Raw genomic sequence first — 15,456 nt, 5'->3', positions numbered from 1 at the left:
TGTTTAAGGTGGTACCGATGGTTACATTCTGTCCCCACCCTAGACCGAGACTTCTTCCAGGTGGCACCCATGCTCAGTCACCTCTGGATCAATGGTACCTAGCACATAATAGGTACCAAGTTAATGATGGCTGAGTTGAATGATGCCATTAGAGAATACTTTGTTCTTTTGACAAATATGTGCTACCAGATGCTAGGCACCGTGCTGGGCCCTGGGGATACAACAATGACATGGTCACTGTACAATAATGATTTCAGATAACATGTTGACACCACAGTTCTTAAGACTGATAAAAGGTTAGAGGAAGTAACCTGAGAAAGATAAACCAACAGACTTGTTGAGAAAGGGGTCCAGTTTTACTTGCTCCTTCCTTCACCAACCCAGCCCTGGCCCAGGTTCACTGAGGCTGGCATTTGGACTTTGCTCAGCTTCTGGAGGAACGTAATCATTCTCCACGTTGGTGCAAGGCCTGAGGTCCTCATTCCCCGCACTGGAGTTCTTTACATACCCTGGTTTGAACCTGACTCCACTACTTACAAGTGATTTGACCTTGGTAGCTCTGCCAAGTCATTTGCTGTGTGACATTGGACAAACTTCTCTCAGTTCCCATGTCTATAAAATAGAGATGTTAATTTCTCTCTCTGACCAAGGTGTTATGAGTATTGAATGAGATAAGGCCTGTGAAGTATTTAGCACAGGGCCTGAAGACAGTAAGTGCTATTGTTATTATTATCTGTTCACTCACATGGGTTCTAAAGCAATGACACCACAATGGTGCAGTGGACTTGGGAGTCCCAAGGCCAGATTTTAGTCCCAGCTCTGCCATTCATTTGCTGTGTAACTTTGCTGTGTAACCCCTTAGCCTTTTGGGCCTCTCTTTCCTCATTTGTACAGTGGCAATTTTAAGACTTTCCCCAAAGGAGTGGTCATGAGGTCAAATGGGCTGACATATGGGAGTCCCTAGGGCCATGCACAACACAGAGTAGGGGTTCAGTTATGAAAGCTCTTTGGACATGTAGACTGTGGGGCTCTGGGAGGCTCTGCCTTCACGGAGTTGCAGAGGGATGAGCAAGGTCCTTGATAACCGTGACTCCACAGTGGGACTTGCAGCTGTCTCTTCTCTGTTACCTTAAAAGGAGGGATTGTGGATCTGCTTGATGTGGACACTTTTTGTCACCAGACACAGGGAAATTGAGGCTGGAAAAGCTGATGGCTAGCCTGAAGTGACTCACCTGAGTCTCCTCCACTTGCTCCTGCCCTGGAGCTGATGTTCTTCTCTCCACCCTCCGCAAGCCCCCCAGCCCCACTGCGTCTGCCTGGCTGGCTGGGAGACTTGTGGCTGGCAGGTTCTGCCTGCAGTCTTAGGGCCAAGCCAGCAGGATGGTGTCCGTCTGCACGTGGTGTCTTAGCTCTTCACATCCATGCAAGCTGTTTGTACCCATCCATCGGCAAGGAGTGCTGGTACCACAGAAATAGATTTTCCATCCCATGTTGCCTCAGATGAAAAAATGGAGACCCAGACAGCATAAGCCTCCTCCTCCAGAGTCACACATGAATGAAGAGTTGAGGGTCAGGACCTCCAGAGTGAGTCCTGGAGTAAGAGGACTCAGCTCTGCATGCTTACCCTGGACAGCTTAGCTGCTAGCCTCCCTGCTACCAGTGAAGTCATGTCCCAGGCCAGGTTCTGGGACAGGTATAGGGGAATTGGAAGCAACTGAGATTTGGGGTTTTGATAATTTCCTAACGTAGCATCATCAAGAAAGCAGTGCTCAGCTGACCCCAGAGGAGAGTAGAAGGGAGCATAGGAGAGATGCTATTTGCCAGAGGAATGAACCACTGGAGGGAGAAGAGAGATTGAACAGAGGGAAATGGAGATGGATGGCAGGAAGTGGGAGGAAACCCTCATTTGCTGGTTGTCCAAATGTCATTTCCTTGAAACTATTTGACAGCCAATTTCCCCTTGAGATCTTTTCTAGGGAATGGCCTTCTATCATAAAGAGCTTGCTTTCTTCCTTTCTCTTTCTTTTCTTTTTTCTTTCTTTCTCCCCTTATTCATGCATTCCTCCCTTCCCCCTCCCTTTCTTCTTTTTTCTTTCCTACTTTCCTTTTCTTTCTTTTGTTCTCCCTTTCATTCTTCATTTCTTTCTCTTTCCTTTTCTTTCTTTTTGCTATTCCTTCTCTCTTCCTTTCTCCCTTCCTTTTCTCCTTCCTTCCCACCTTTCTCTCTTTCTTCCACCTAAGTGGCTCTGTGGCTCTTTAGAAAGTAGACTGGGGGTGGACAGCAGCTGCCTTGGAAGCTGGGGCTGCAGAGAAAATGCTGCTTTCTTGTCCCAGTGCTACAGAAAGGGCCAGAATGTAGGACTCCTGGCTGACCAGGTTTGGGAGCAGGACGTCAGAGCCAGAGCATCCCATCTCCCAGCCACGCACCTATAGTCATTTGCACTGCAGCCTGCCCTTTCAGTCATGTCTTCTCCCACTTTCAAGGTGAGAGACAGCGTGAAGGGTGGTAAAGCAGCCAGCAGGGAAGGATTTTGGACTGAATGCCCTTGTCAATTAAATGGGAATAGCAGCTTCCTGCCAGCTTCCTAGGGCTGCTGTGAAGCCTTTGTGTTTGGCAAACTACCAAGAGCCAATCTTTGGTACTTTGGAACTATTGATATTTGTCGAGACCACCCCATCCTATGGCTGGGGGAAAGTCAGCTGTCCCCCTTGTCCCAGAGCCACAGAAATACATGGTGGCTTCAGGACTTGTGTCACCCCTGAAGGGCAAGCACTGCTGCAATGCAAGACTGTATCAGCAGCCTGTCCACTTTCCTCTCCCGGAGCTTCCCGCCACAGCCAGGCCCGGCACTGTCTCCTGAACCTCAGCAGGACTGATTCTTAGGTTGCTCTCATGAACTCCTCAGAACTGAAAAATCTAACCCAGAAACTGACAAACATTTATCCACAGTGAATTCTGGCTTCCCAAGTGCCCTCTCTACCTCCCTAAAGTCACAATCCCTCAGCTGAGGACCCTTCTAGAATGAAAGTTTCCAACCTTCATCGGAAAAAGAGAATCACGAAAAGGATGATGTGTCAGCTGGTGCACAAGCATCACAGCAAGCCCACTTCCTATCCTGGCCCTGTGTGACTTCAGAGTAAACGAGGCAGAGAATTACCTAGAAACAGGAAGTGAGAACCTACACTGTCTGTAGTCATCTATTAGTACAATAGACATTTTTGGTGCCTGCTGCATGCCTGGCCTGTGCTTGCCCACACTTCGTTGAATTACATGGCCTCCCTCCTCACAGACTGCCAGGGACACACACATCAAGGGGCAGTGAGTAGGACAATGAAGAAATGTTCCAGTGCCCCAAAGGCCCAGAGTGGCTTGGCTTCAGAAGTCACTTGAAGGAAATCAGAAACCTGGAGTAGAGAAGAGATTGGGAATTAGAAGAAATCAGGTCCTAGATACAGCCAGAGAGACAGACTCCTCTATTCCACTTACATGATTTAAGGTTGTGCTTTGTCTTGGTTCTCTATGTTGGTTTGCCCAGTGCCAACTGGGAGGTCCAAGGTGATGCTTGGATGCTCTGTATGGAGGCCAGGATGGGCAGAGATGGGGGAGGCCCAGAGCAGGAGAGTAAGTGGGGAGAGGACACCTTCCTAAGGTTGCCCCATGTGAAGGAAGGAAAGGCATTGGTGACTCCAACTACAACCAGCAATACTCACTCATTTCTGTGGCTGCCGTGAGCCCCAGGCCGGGGTCCTCCAGCCAGCAGGCAAGTCCCCTTTCCATTGGCTGCTGCTGGGCACTTCTCCCTGGGGGAAGGAAGAGTCTCACAGCCCTCACGAGTGCAGTGTGGTGAGTAAGAGCATTAGCTGTGTAACCGAACTGCTTGGGCTAAAATCCCAGCTCTTCCTCCTGATAGCTCCATGACCCTGGGTAGGGTACCTAAACTTTTTGTGCCTCAGTTTTCTCATCTGTAAAATGAAGTTAATAATGGTGCCTTACTCGGCCGGGCACGGTGGCTCATGCCTGAAATTCCAGCACTTTGGGAGGCCGAGGCAGGTGGATCACGAGGTCAGGAGATTGAGACCATCCTGGCTAACATAGTGAAACCCCGTCTCTACTAAAAATACAAAAAATTAGCCGGCCATGGTGGTGGGCGCCTGTAGTCCCAGCTACTCGGGAGGCTGAGGCAGGAGAATGGCGTGAACCCGGGAGGCGGAGCCTGCAGTGAGCTGAGATCGCGCCACTGCACTCCAGCCTGGGCGACAGAGGGAGACTCCGTCTCAAAAATAATAATAATAATAATAATAATAGTGCCTTACTCATAGTGTTGGTATAAGGATCAGTTAGGTGATTATGCATAAAATGCCTAGAGCATTGCTTAGAATATATAGAATATAGAATATAGCTAGAGAAGGGGTAGAGTGGTCATTGTTGAGTGGCTGGTGAAGCAGGGAGGGGACTGCATTTGTTGTTCAGTCAGTGCCACCTCAGATGTCATTAAAGGGGGACTCCAGAGTGACTGTGCTAATGCCTCCTCAGTCAGGGAATTGTGGTGGGGGGTGGGGGACGGGGAGTGGGGTGGCATATGACCAAGGCTGGTTCCACTCAGGAAAGCCCTTTCTGAATCCTGTCATGGGGAGAACCCCTGCTCCAGGGGCCAGGAGGATGTGGGGCAGGGGCTTAATTCTGGAGCCCAGAGGAGTGGGCAGGGCTTGTGCTCCCACCTCTTAGTCCAGAACTCTCTCGGAGTCACTGACAGGAGCAGGAATACAGTGTTCCTCCAGGAGCTCCTCCCTTCCCCTAACCACAATTGGCCACATAACCCACAACCGCCAATTGGTCCATTCACTAGAAAGCCTGTTTGTTGGAGCCCAGGCAGAGCGCTCTGCCCCTCCTGCTCCCTGCCAGCTCCCAGTGCTGGGCTGCGAGTCCCCAGAGCAGCTGGTCACTTGGCCTGGAGCAGCCTCCTCTTCTGTCCTCCATGGGCAGGCTTCTGGGGCAGAGTCCAGGCAGGGCCGTCCATGGCTTGGCACCAGGGTGCTCTCTGGGGCTGTTAGGTGAGAATTCTCCCTGTCAGTGTCCAGCTGTTTGCTAGAAGCGATGATCCAGTCCTTGCCAAGGTGTAGAAGGAATGCAGGATTTGGCTTCAGCTCAGATCTTTTTTGGATATACCATTTACCAACAGGGACCTTTGGCAAGTTGTTTGAATCCTCCAAGCCTCAGTTCTCTTCTCTGTAAAATGGGAATTATCATAATTTTGGCCTCCCATGAGTAGTGACAGAATCAAATTAGAAATTTACTGGAAAATGCTCTGTAATCTTAGAAGACTCATGTGATGTTGGCTATCATTAGTAAAGGACTTTGGGGTTGAAATCAGATCTACATTCAGATCTCAGATCCGCTACTTTCTAGCTTTGTGACCTGGGGCAGTGTGGAAGTTTTATGATCCTCAATTTCCTCATCTACTAAGTGGAAGTCATACTACCTGTCTCAGAGTGTTACAAGAAGTCAACATAGTATATAACCAGGCCCATGTTGCAGAGTGGGTGCCCAGTGACTACTAGCTACAATTATTCATAGAAGTAATAGGAACGATATGACCAGAAGGAGCTCACCATAGAAAGCAAACCAGGTTCACATGCATCTTATTTTCCACAGCTATAGCCCCCCATGCTGTACTCACTCAATAAATATTTGCTGATTGATTGAGGATAATTGATCCTGGACTCCTGTGCCAACATTCCTTGAAAAGCTGGGAACTGCCTGGCCCTGGGCCTTTCCTAACAGAGATGGAACAGCCTGGCATAGAGTCTCTCTCCCCTTCTTTCACCCCTGATTAGGTCAGATATTTGCTTCCCTTAAAGCTCATAAAGTGCTATTTCATTAAATTGTGTCTTCAGTTATGCAAAAACAGGGTCATGCCAAGGCTATTTTACTGCAAAGAAAGCAGAGAACCATAGAAGATATATTTTTAGAACATGACAATAGAAGTCATACTCCAGTTCTGCCTTGAATTAAAAGAAAATCATTGAGCACACGCCTAATTCTTTAAGCCAGCTTAAAAGAAGAATCTTCCTAGAGCTGAGTTTGGAGGAAACCAGACTATGGGTTCATGTCTTCTTGGACACTCCATGCCCCTAAGCAATTTCACCCCTTTTTGCAGGTGGGAGCCAGGACTCAAGAGGAAAATTGAGCGTATGCCTCTGGAATCACTAGCACTTCTCCCTACATTCCTTAATTTGCTTACTTAATGAACATCTATTGAGCACCTACCTAGGCACTAGGGCTAAAGTTATTAACTAGGACCATGTTTTACTCCCAGGAAGCTCACAGTCTCATGGGAGGAGGAGACCCTTGAGCTGCATTGAGAGCAAAAGTGCACGTGGCACAGAAGTAGGGAAGGAGCATTCATTCCAGAGAGAGGGAACAGCATGCACAAACTCAGGAGAGGCGAGGGCAGTGTAGTGGGTTCTGGGTAGTATAATTACTCAGGAATGATTGGAGCTGGGGAGGAAGACTAGAGGAAGTGAGAGACAGGCCAGACCAATCCCATTCATTGGGCATCTGTAGGTCATACACGTGACATTTGACTTTACATTGAGAACCACTGAGGATGCTAGGAGATGACAGGATTGGATCCATCCATTCAATGAATGTTTTCCAAGCATAGGGCACTGTCTGATGGGGTCCGTGAAGAGGCACATCTGGTGCTGCCTGGACTTGTCCTTAGGAAATGCAGCATCTCATTAGGAAGTGAGGGCTTGGGGGAGTGCCAGACACTTATACAGGTTTACCAGCGAAAGGGAAGGAGCCCACAGAGGGAGAAGCTAAGCAGATGGAGAGACAAGGCCACTGAAGGAGCAGGGTCCTGGGGATAGGCAGGGGTGAGATCAAGGATATGAGGAGAGGGTCTGTGGGGTCAGAGAAATGGATATTTTGCCTTTGAGGTCCAAGATGTGGGTTTGGCAGAAGGAACAGAGCTCAGGAGACTAAGTGCTGCAGAGGGAGAAATTTGGGTAATCAGTGGTGGATCCGGTGAAGAGCGAAGGCGGGACCAGGAAACAGTCATTGTCTCATTCAACAAACAAGACAAATGCTCACGGATCACCACATGGGGACCAGGGACAATTAGGAACCAGATTGCCATGGTTCCCACCCCCAGGAGCTCAAGGTCTCCTGCCATCCCTGCTTGCCCCTCCCATGTCTTCTTGTTGGAATCTCCTTGTACTCATCTTTAGGGCCCGTCTGAAATGTCCCCTCCTCGGGAAACATTCCCCCTTACTCTCAACAGGAATGCTTCCTCTCTCCTCTGGCCCCATGGTTCTTGGTCTCTGTGTCTCTCTTGTGTTTATGTACATTTCTTACCCTTCTTCTTACTGAACTATGAGAGTAGAGATAGCTTTTATCTCCCATGGAACCCATATATACTAGGTGCTCAATAAAGCTTTGTTGAATGGATGAATGCATGAGTGAATGAATGGATTTTACGAATCCAGATCATTCTCTCTGCTGGAAGTAACCTTTTCCCTCCCCTATTTCTAAGCTAAGCTCCACCCTTTCATCCCACTGTGGCCTGTCCCAGTGCTGACTGCTGTGTCACATGCTTGTCATGGGCCCTCTGCACTTGGGTGAGGTCATGGGTTCTGGCAGGATGCCATAGCTGCAGGTCAGAACTCACTCTGTCAATTTAACCCAGGTACTAGCAGAACTCGGGGTGCTTGTCTAGGCTCTCCAAAGGCTGCAGAGACCTGCATGCATACAGGATGCTGGGGCACCTGTCAGGCCTTCCTCGCTCTTGGTCTGACCTTGCTCTGCTCTAGCCCTCATGTGGCATAGCAGTCCTACCAGTGGGCATTGTCCTCCCTGCTGTGGCCTCACCTAGTGCTGACAGTGGCTCCACACACCCACAGAGTAAATGCTAGCACCCTTGACTGATGCCAGGGCCTTCTTCGTGTTGGTCCCCACCTTCTGCTTCCATCTTGTTTTCCATTATGCACCCCTACACCTGACAAAAATTCAATAGCCATGCCCTGGATAAATCTTTATTGAATGTTTTCTGTGTGCCTGGCTTAAGGTTACGTGCTGGGATTTCCAAAGTAGAAGACAGTCTACTGTCAGTGAGCTCACAGTCCAGTGGGCTGTAGGGGTGGGGCTGGAAGCAGGCAGTGACAGCACCCCATAGTTAGTGCTATCGGGGAGGAAGCCCAGGTTGCTCTGGGAGCCTTAAGGAGAAAGTCCAGGGTCAGGCTCAGTTTTCAGGGATGATGACAGGTGAGCCAAGACAAGGACAGAAGGGAGGGGCAGGGAAGGGGATCCCAGGCAGAGGGAGCAGCAAAGGCAAAGTGGGGAGGGGAGTCTGGCTTGGTGTGGTGAGTGTGAGTGGCAGAGGGTTGGAGGGGAAGAAGTCTGGCAAGGCTGGCAGAGGCAAAGCCACAGAAGGTGTCACTATGCCTCCATCCCCACCTGTGGAAATAAACCCCCTCAAGGCCCTCTCGGCTGCTCTCTTCACCAACGAGAGTTCTGTTTCCCTGACCCACATGGTCTCATCTTCCTCAGAATCTCAGTGGCACTTTACATCCCTCTCCTAACCCTTTTCCCTGTGCCAGCTTATTTGCAGCTTCCGTCTGTGCCTGCCCTACACACCTGTACCTGCCTAGAGTAGGGACATGGAGTTTCAATACCCTGCACAAATACTGAGTGAGGATCTAGGTCTTGGTACCGGAGCACAGTGGAGAGTGAGACAGGCGAATTGAAATACCTCAGTCCCCACCCAAATGACCCTGTCCCTCTTTCAGGCTCCCCAGTGAATCATCTGGAGATTGCTCCATAAGCAAGGAATCTATTCAAGAGGAGGACCATCATGTCATGCCCCTTATTGTGTGACTTTTGGCAAACTGTAGAACCTCTCTGATGGGGATAGAAGTAACTCCTCCCTCAGGGCCTTGTCATGAGCAAATGTGATGGCAAATGTGAAGTCTTGGTAAACTTTAGAGCAGCCTCCAAAGTCCAGAAGATTAGGAGTAGGGAAGCCTTTCCACTGCTCCTCACCAGCATACACTTTCCAGGACATGCCTCCACGGCGGAGCGTCTCAGACCAGGCCTCTGCACCAGGATGGGGCTGACCTGTTCAGCGCTCACTACACCTTCCAGCAGCTTGTCCCATCCTCCCATCCTCCTCGACACCTGCCCCCTTTTTTTTTTTTCATTTCTTATAAGTAAGAAGAAGCTTCTAGCACTTCTAGGCGGCCTCATGAGTAAAGCTGTGATTTTCAAGGCTGCAATTTTTCTTCTGATTCTAGAGGATTTACTTCTTGTCGTGTGTGTGTGTGTGTGTGTGTGTGTGTGTGTGTGTGTGTTTTAACCTCTGAGTTGGACTGCATCCAAATTTCAACATCAGAAGAATGGGAAGTTCTTGAACATGTTTAAACTGTGAAGCCCATAGAAGCCAGATCATTCTTTTGTGGAACTACAAAAAAAAAATTTCTTTTTTTTGAGATGGAGTTTCGCATGCAGTGGCACGATCTCAGCTCACTGCAACCTCCGCCTCTTGGGTTCAAGCAATTCTCCTGCCTCAGCCTCCTGAATTGCTGGGACTACAGGCTTTAGCCACCACGCCCAGCTAATTTTTGTACCTTTAGTAGAGATGGGGTTTCACAATGTTGGCCAGGCTGGTCTTGAACTCCTGACCTCAGGTGATCCACCTGCCTCGGACTCCCAAAGCGCTGGGTTTACAGGCATGAGCCACCTCACCCGTCATCTTTTTAAATAACAGTGTATTCAACCTTAAATTAACCTAAATTGTGTTAAATCAGAGACTACTGGATCCTTGTTCTTGCTATGGTTTTAACACATCCCCCAAAAGTTCATGTGTTGGAAACTTAATCCCCAATATGACCATGCTGGGAGGTGGGGCCTACTAAAAAGTGATTGGGCCATGATGGGAAGTCCTCATGGATGGATTAATGTTATCATGAAAGTGTGCTGTTATCCATTGAGTCTGGCCCCTGATGCTTCTCTCTCTGTGTCTCACATGCTTGCTTGCCCTTCTACTCTGTTATAACGCAGCAAGAAGGCCCTCACCAGATGCCATGCAGATGCTGGGGCCATGCCCTTGGACTTCCCTGCTTCCAGAACTGGGGAAATAAATTTATTTTCTTTATAAATTACCCAGTCTCGAGTATTCTGTTATAGCAGCAGAAAACAGACTAAGACAATTCTCATGTAGACAACTCATAGCAGGGGTCAAAGTTTAAGGAAAATGTTGAGACCTCAAGTCCTAAGTGGGGAATATTCTACACTCAATCTTCAGATTGGGAAGGTTGGGGGTGTTTATGTATGTTTATGGGTAGGACTCCGGCTCTAGGAAACAGAATTTGAGAGCTCTGGGTCCCAGAATCAGGCCAAGCCTCAAAAACAATAGCCCTGGGTCATCAGGGCTCTGCTGGACTTCCAGCTCTCCTTCCTGCTGTGCTGCTCCCATGATGACGTTGGCCAGCCTATCCCTCCCACCCCACCCACCACCTCCTGATCATTCTTAGAAAGGGAATGAAGCAGGTAACATTCTTAGAAAGGGAATGATTAGTAACATGGGCTGGAGCAAGACTGCCTGGATTCAACTCCAGCCTCTGTACTTACTAGCTATGCAACCTTGGACAAGCCTTCTGTGCCTCTGTGCTTCAGTTGCCTTATCTGTAAAATGGAGATAGTAACAGCACTGACCTTAATTGTACTGATGAGGATTAACTGAGTTACTACAGGGGTCTACAGATCTTTTCTGTAAAGGGCCAGATAGTAAATATTTTTAGAATCTGCCATTATTCATCCCATGTCTGACAAAAATCGGATAGCCATCCACGGGATAAATCTTTTTTTTTTTTAAGACAAAGTCTTGATCTCTTGCTCTGTCACCCAGGCTGGAGCATAGTGGCACGATCTTGGCTCACTGCAACCTCCGCCTCCCAGGTTCAAGTGATTCTCCCACCTCAGCCTCCCAGGTAGCTGGGACTACAGGCGCCCACCATCATGCCCGGCTAATTTTTGTATTTTTAGTAGAGATGGGGTTTCACCATTTTGGCCAGGCTGGTCTTGAACTCCTGACCTCAAGTGATCCACCCAACTCGACCTCCCAAAATGCTGGGATTACAGGTGTGAGCCACTGTGCCCGGCTGATAAATCTTTACTTAATATTTACTATGTGCCTGGCTCAAGGTTAAGTGCTGGGATTTCCAAAGTAGAAGATAGTCTACTGTCAATGAGCTCACAGTCCAGCAGAGCTGGAAGGGGTGAGTGAGCCTGGTAAGCAGCCAGTGATGGCATCCCATAGTTAGTGCTGCGGAGAAAGAAGCCCAGGTTGCTCTGGGAGCCTCCAAGAGAAGGTCCAGGATCAGGTGCAGCTTTCAGGCCGATGACAGGTGAGCCAAGGAAAAGAGAGAAGGGTGGGGCAGGGAAGGGGGTCCCAGGCAGAGGGAGCAGCAAAAGCAAAGTGGAGAGGGGAGACTGGCTCGGTGTGGTAAGTGTGAGTGGCAGAGTGTTGGAGGGGTAAGGAAAAGCTTCTAGCACTTCTAGGAGGCCTCAGGCTCTGTCACAACTACTCCACTCTGCCATTGTATCATGAAAGCGGCCATAGACAATATGTACATGATAGGCATGTGTTCCAATAAAATGTATTTATAAAAACAAGCAGGGAGCTGGATTTGCCCAGAGGCCTATAGCTCACTGGCCCATGAGTTAATATGTGAAATAAGTACTTGTCATGTAGTAACACTCAACCAATGTTAGCAATTATTATTCATCATGAATCAACTAAATATTTGAGCACCTACTCTGTGCCAGGCCCTGTTCTGAGTGCTGGGGATATAGCCATGAACAACACAGACAAGGTTCCTGCTCTCGGGGAGCTTCCATTCTAGATGGCAGAGACAAAAATAAACAAGGAAACGAGAGAAAATACCAGTTCGTGGTAAGTGCTGTCTTAAAACTAAAGCAGGGACTGTGATAGTGATGTCAGGGTGGAATACGTCACTGCGGTGGCCAGCAAAGGCCTCTTGGAGGATGTAACGTTTAAGCCAAGACTAGCATGATGAGAAGGAGCCAGCTCTGTGGCAACTGCAAGAACAGAAATCCAGGCAGGAAAAAGCAGCTCAGGCTCTTGCTTCTGCTTTTGCCCTTAGCCCAGCTGCAAACCAGAGGCAAGGGTCTGCAATGCTGGGAGGGCCAGGAGGGGAGGGGGACAGCAAAGAGAGGACAGAAAGGAACATCTCTTTGGATCTTGCAACTCTGGGTGCTGCAGAGGCTGTGGGAGGGGGTGTTTCTCCTCATCCTCTTGATCCTTAGCCCATCTCCCAGGATACAATCCTTTTCTTAACATCCCGGCCCTCAACCCAACACCCCTCTCTCCTTTCTCCTCCATTCCCCTCACCGATTGGCTGAAAGCCCTCAGCCTAGGCATGGCAACATCTCTGCTTCGCACATCTGTCTCTGAGTCCCAGGCTTGCTTGAGCCAGTTTACCCATTACTTAAAGCCGGTGGTGCCACCCAGCTGGTGAGTAGGACGATCTGTAGCTGCTTCCTCCTGTACAACGGGTGTTTGGAATTCCATACACAGAGAAAGAGGTGGGTTTCACTGGAGCCACTCCCGGACACAGGTTTGCTTCCGTTGTTCTCCAGTTCAATGTTTCCTAAGCTCTTTTCCGATTGAGAAAGCTTCTCTGTGCATGTAGTTTCTGGCCCCTGCAGATGCTGCAAGCCCCCTCTCTTTCCCGCTCTCCACCCACAATGTGCAGCCTTCTCTTATTAGTTGAACATTCTGGCTCACACAGAATTCTAGAGGATGGCCTAGCCTAGGAACCAGACTACACAGGTGATGTTGCTCCTCTACAGAGAACAAATCCTCAACTCCAACAGCTTCTGGAGCTGGAGCCAGCCTGCTGAGGTTCCTACCACGTTGGTTTCTCACTTGCAGCTTCTACACCTGAGGGACATGTTTCCTGACCTGGTCCCAGCCTCTAGTTATGCCCTTCTGGGTAGCGCTCTGTCCCTCCTTCAATTCTCACTTCCTTTAGACACCTTCCCAGACTGTGTCCCCAACTCGGATGCCCCCTGGTTCCAGCATGTCCCTCAGGATGCGAGCCTCAGCCCTGGTTCCAGGATCTCCCTCCGGATGCGAGCCTCAGAACCAGCTCTGACTGGTGTGTCCTTCTCACCCCAACGTGCCAGGCATAGGGGTCTGAAATGGCACCTCCTCTCTCTGTGTCCCTCACATCTCGGCTGGCTGTGAGAGGGTTTCCAGGGCTACCAGACTCACCAGCGACTGGTGCTGTCAGGCTGGCTGTCATGTGGCATGGTGGATCCCACAGGCGGGTGGGCAGCATGGGGTGGGGTCGGTGTGTCCTCCAGCCCATTTGGGAGGCCTCCACCGCCCCAACTCTTTGTTGTGCCGCGTTGCTATTTTGGTACCCAGGAAGCTGGCCGGAAAAGGGAAAGTCTGACCCCTCTTCCTGTCAACAATGACTTTCTGCTTAGAGCTGACCCTTCTGGGGTGAGTCACCAGGAAGGGCAATCTGCCTCTGCCGAGGGGAGGAGGAACACCAGGAGGGGAGGCTCACTGTCCAGGGTCACCGAGGCTTGTGGCTAGACCAGGGTCTTCCTGCTGAAGAAGGGGCTCAGAATAGTCTGCCTGCTGACCCCCAAAAGTGGAGGTGGCCTCCAAATCCCTCCCCTAACTCCTCCCTGTCCTGCAGTTTCACCTGCAGGTCACACCAGATTGATGTCCTTAAACACAGCTGTGACCATGTCACATCTTGATTATAATCTTCAGAGGCTCTTTGTTGCCTCCAGAATGAAGTCCAAATGCCCTCACTTGGCCCCAACCTCCTCTTCGACCTCCTCACCCCCTGCTCCTTCATGCCTTCTGCTCCACCAGGCTGGCCTCTTTTGCTCCTGCATGTGACACAGCACACACAGCCGTCTCCACACTTCTGCCTTCGCCATGCCCTTCTCCATCATCCCCCTCCTTGGAATGCCTTTTCCTTTCCAGATGCACCATTCCCATTTCCAATCCCACATCACCCTTCCATCTATCCAAAAAATATTTAATGAGCACCTTCTGTGTGCCGAGTCCAGTGCTATGAGCTGAAGTTTCCACCTCCAATGAGCTAGACAAGCACTCATGGGCCTGTCAGGCTTGCAGAAGGTACAGAGACATACTCAGGCACTTGCAATGTAGCACCTGGGAGGGACACCTCACCCACCTCGAGATCACAGAAGGTGGCTGGTGGAGGTCACACCCCTGCTGATTTCCTGGGGAGTGAGTAGGAGGTAGGTGGGTAAGGGAATAAGGGCTGGAAGCTGGCAGCAAAAATGTGTGGACCAGAGGAACCAGAAAGTAGGAAGACCTCAGTCAAGAGTCAGTGCATTCTAGGAACTGAAAGCTGGTCATAAAATTTGGAGTAGAAGGTGTGAGGTGGGTGGTGAGAAGAGGCGGGGAGTGGCCCAGTGGTCCCTCACAGTTTGGTCTTTATCGTAAGAGCCAGGAGAAGCCAGTGAATGGTTTATAGCAGAGGTTCACAGTGTGCAAATTTGCATCTTGGAAAGTCCAGAGTGACTGGAGTGGGGACCACAGATTGGAGGAGGGTGAGCTGCAGGTGGGGAGACTTTACATGGGAACGGTTTATACAGTCTGGGCCAAGGTCATGGTGGCGTGAGTCGTGTTCCCCCTTAGCCTCCAGCCACATTCGCCTTCTTTACATCTCATTTCCCACCTGGGGCCATTGCACTTGCTCTTTCCTCTGCCTGAAACACTGTGTCCCCTGACACTCACATGGCTTGTGCATCCAAATAATCCAAGTTTCTGTCTAGAGTGGACCCTGACCGCCATCACTCTCAATGTGCTTCCCTTGCTTTAATTTTCATCTTGGCATTTATCACTCCCCGACTGATATGTTGTAGGTTGTGCATGTGTTTCTCTATCTCCATCACTAGAATGAGACCTCCCTCAGGGGAGGGGTTTAGTCTGCCTGCTTTGCCTTCACTTTGGAGGTACCTGAGGCATGCCCAGTGTGGACATCTAGTAGACACTGGTGATGGGATGCAACCGGGAGCATCTGACTCACCAGGAAGCACCATAGCTGCACTTGTGGCAGGGAACGGGATGGTGGGGGTGACAGCAGAACTTCAGTCAGAGTGGGAAGAGAAGGGGCCTGGAAGAGAACCCGAGGTCTGCAACACCTCTGCCTCAGGTAGAGGAGAGGAACCCTCAGAGGAGGAAAGAAGGGATGGTCAGAGAGTGGACCTTATACAAGTGCTGCGCTTTGTGCCTCAGATGGGTGCTTTAGGTTGTGTGGTGCAGCACCGAGGTACCAGGGAGTGGAGATTCCTGACAGGAGGAGCGGACCAAGAACATTGCAAGCCTCAGAGAGCTGGAGGCTGCCAAAGCCCCCTGGGGTAGGCCACTGCAGCTTCCA

The 15,456-nt window shown here is 49.9% G+C and overlaps 1 long non-coding RNA gene across 1 annotated transcript in view, besides 2 other annotated features; it reads right to left on the bottom strand.

Moving 5' to 3' along the window:
• Positions 2,848-3,067: an enhancer, noted in NCBI's record as "active region_1456". NCBI's record gives its function as "activates an Ori minimal core promoter by ATAC-STARR-seq in GM12878 lymphoblastoid cells {active_cell/tissue: GM12878}" and the evidence as "EXISTENCE:reporter gene assay evidence [ECO:0000049][PMID:35858748]".
• Positions 3,258-3,327: an enhancer, noted in NCBI's record as "active region_1455". NCBI's record gives its function as "activates an Ori minimal core promoter by ATAC-STARR-seq in GM12878 lymphoblastoid cells {active_cell/tissue: GM12878}" and the evidence as "EXISTENCE:reporter gene assay evidence [ECO:0000049][PMID:35858748]".
• Positions 3,615-15,456, bottom strand: part of LINC01768 (long intergenic non-protein coding RNA 1768) — a 77,840-nt gene continuing 65,998 nt past the window's right edge. The window contains exon 5 of the long non-coding RNA XR_001738180.3: positions 3,615-3,801. This is a non-coding gene — a long non-coding RNA (long intergenic non-protein coding RNA 1768). The remainder of the gene's footprint in view (positions 3,802-15,456) is intronic.

The sequence above is a fragment of the Homo sapiens genome, chromosome 1, assembly GCF_000001405.40.
Source record: "Homo sapiens chromosome 1, GRCh38.p14 Primary Assembly".
In the NCBI taxonomy this organism is placed as follows: Eukaryota; Metazoa; Chordata; class Mammalia; order Primates; family Hominidae; genus Homo; species Homo sapiens.
This window is presented reverse-complemented; position numbering and strand designations above follow the sequence as displayed.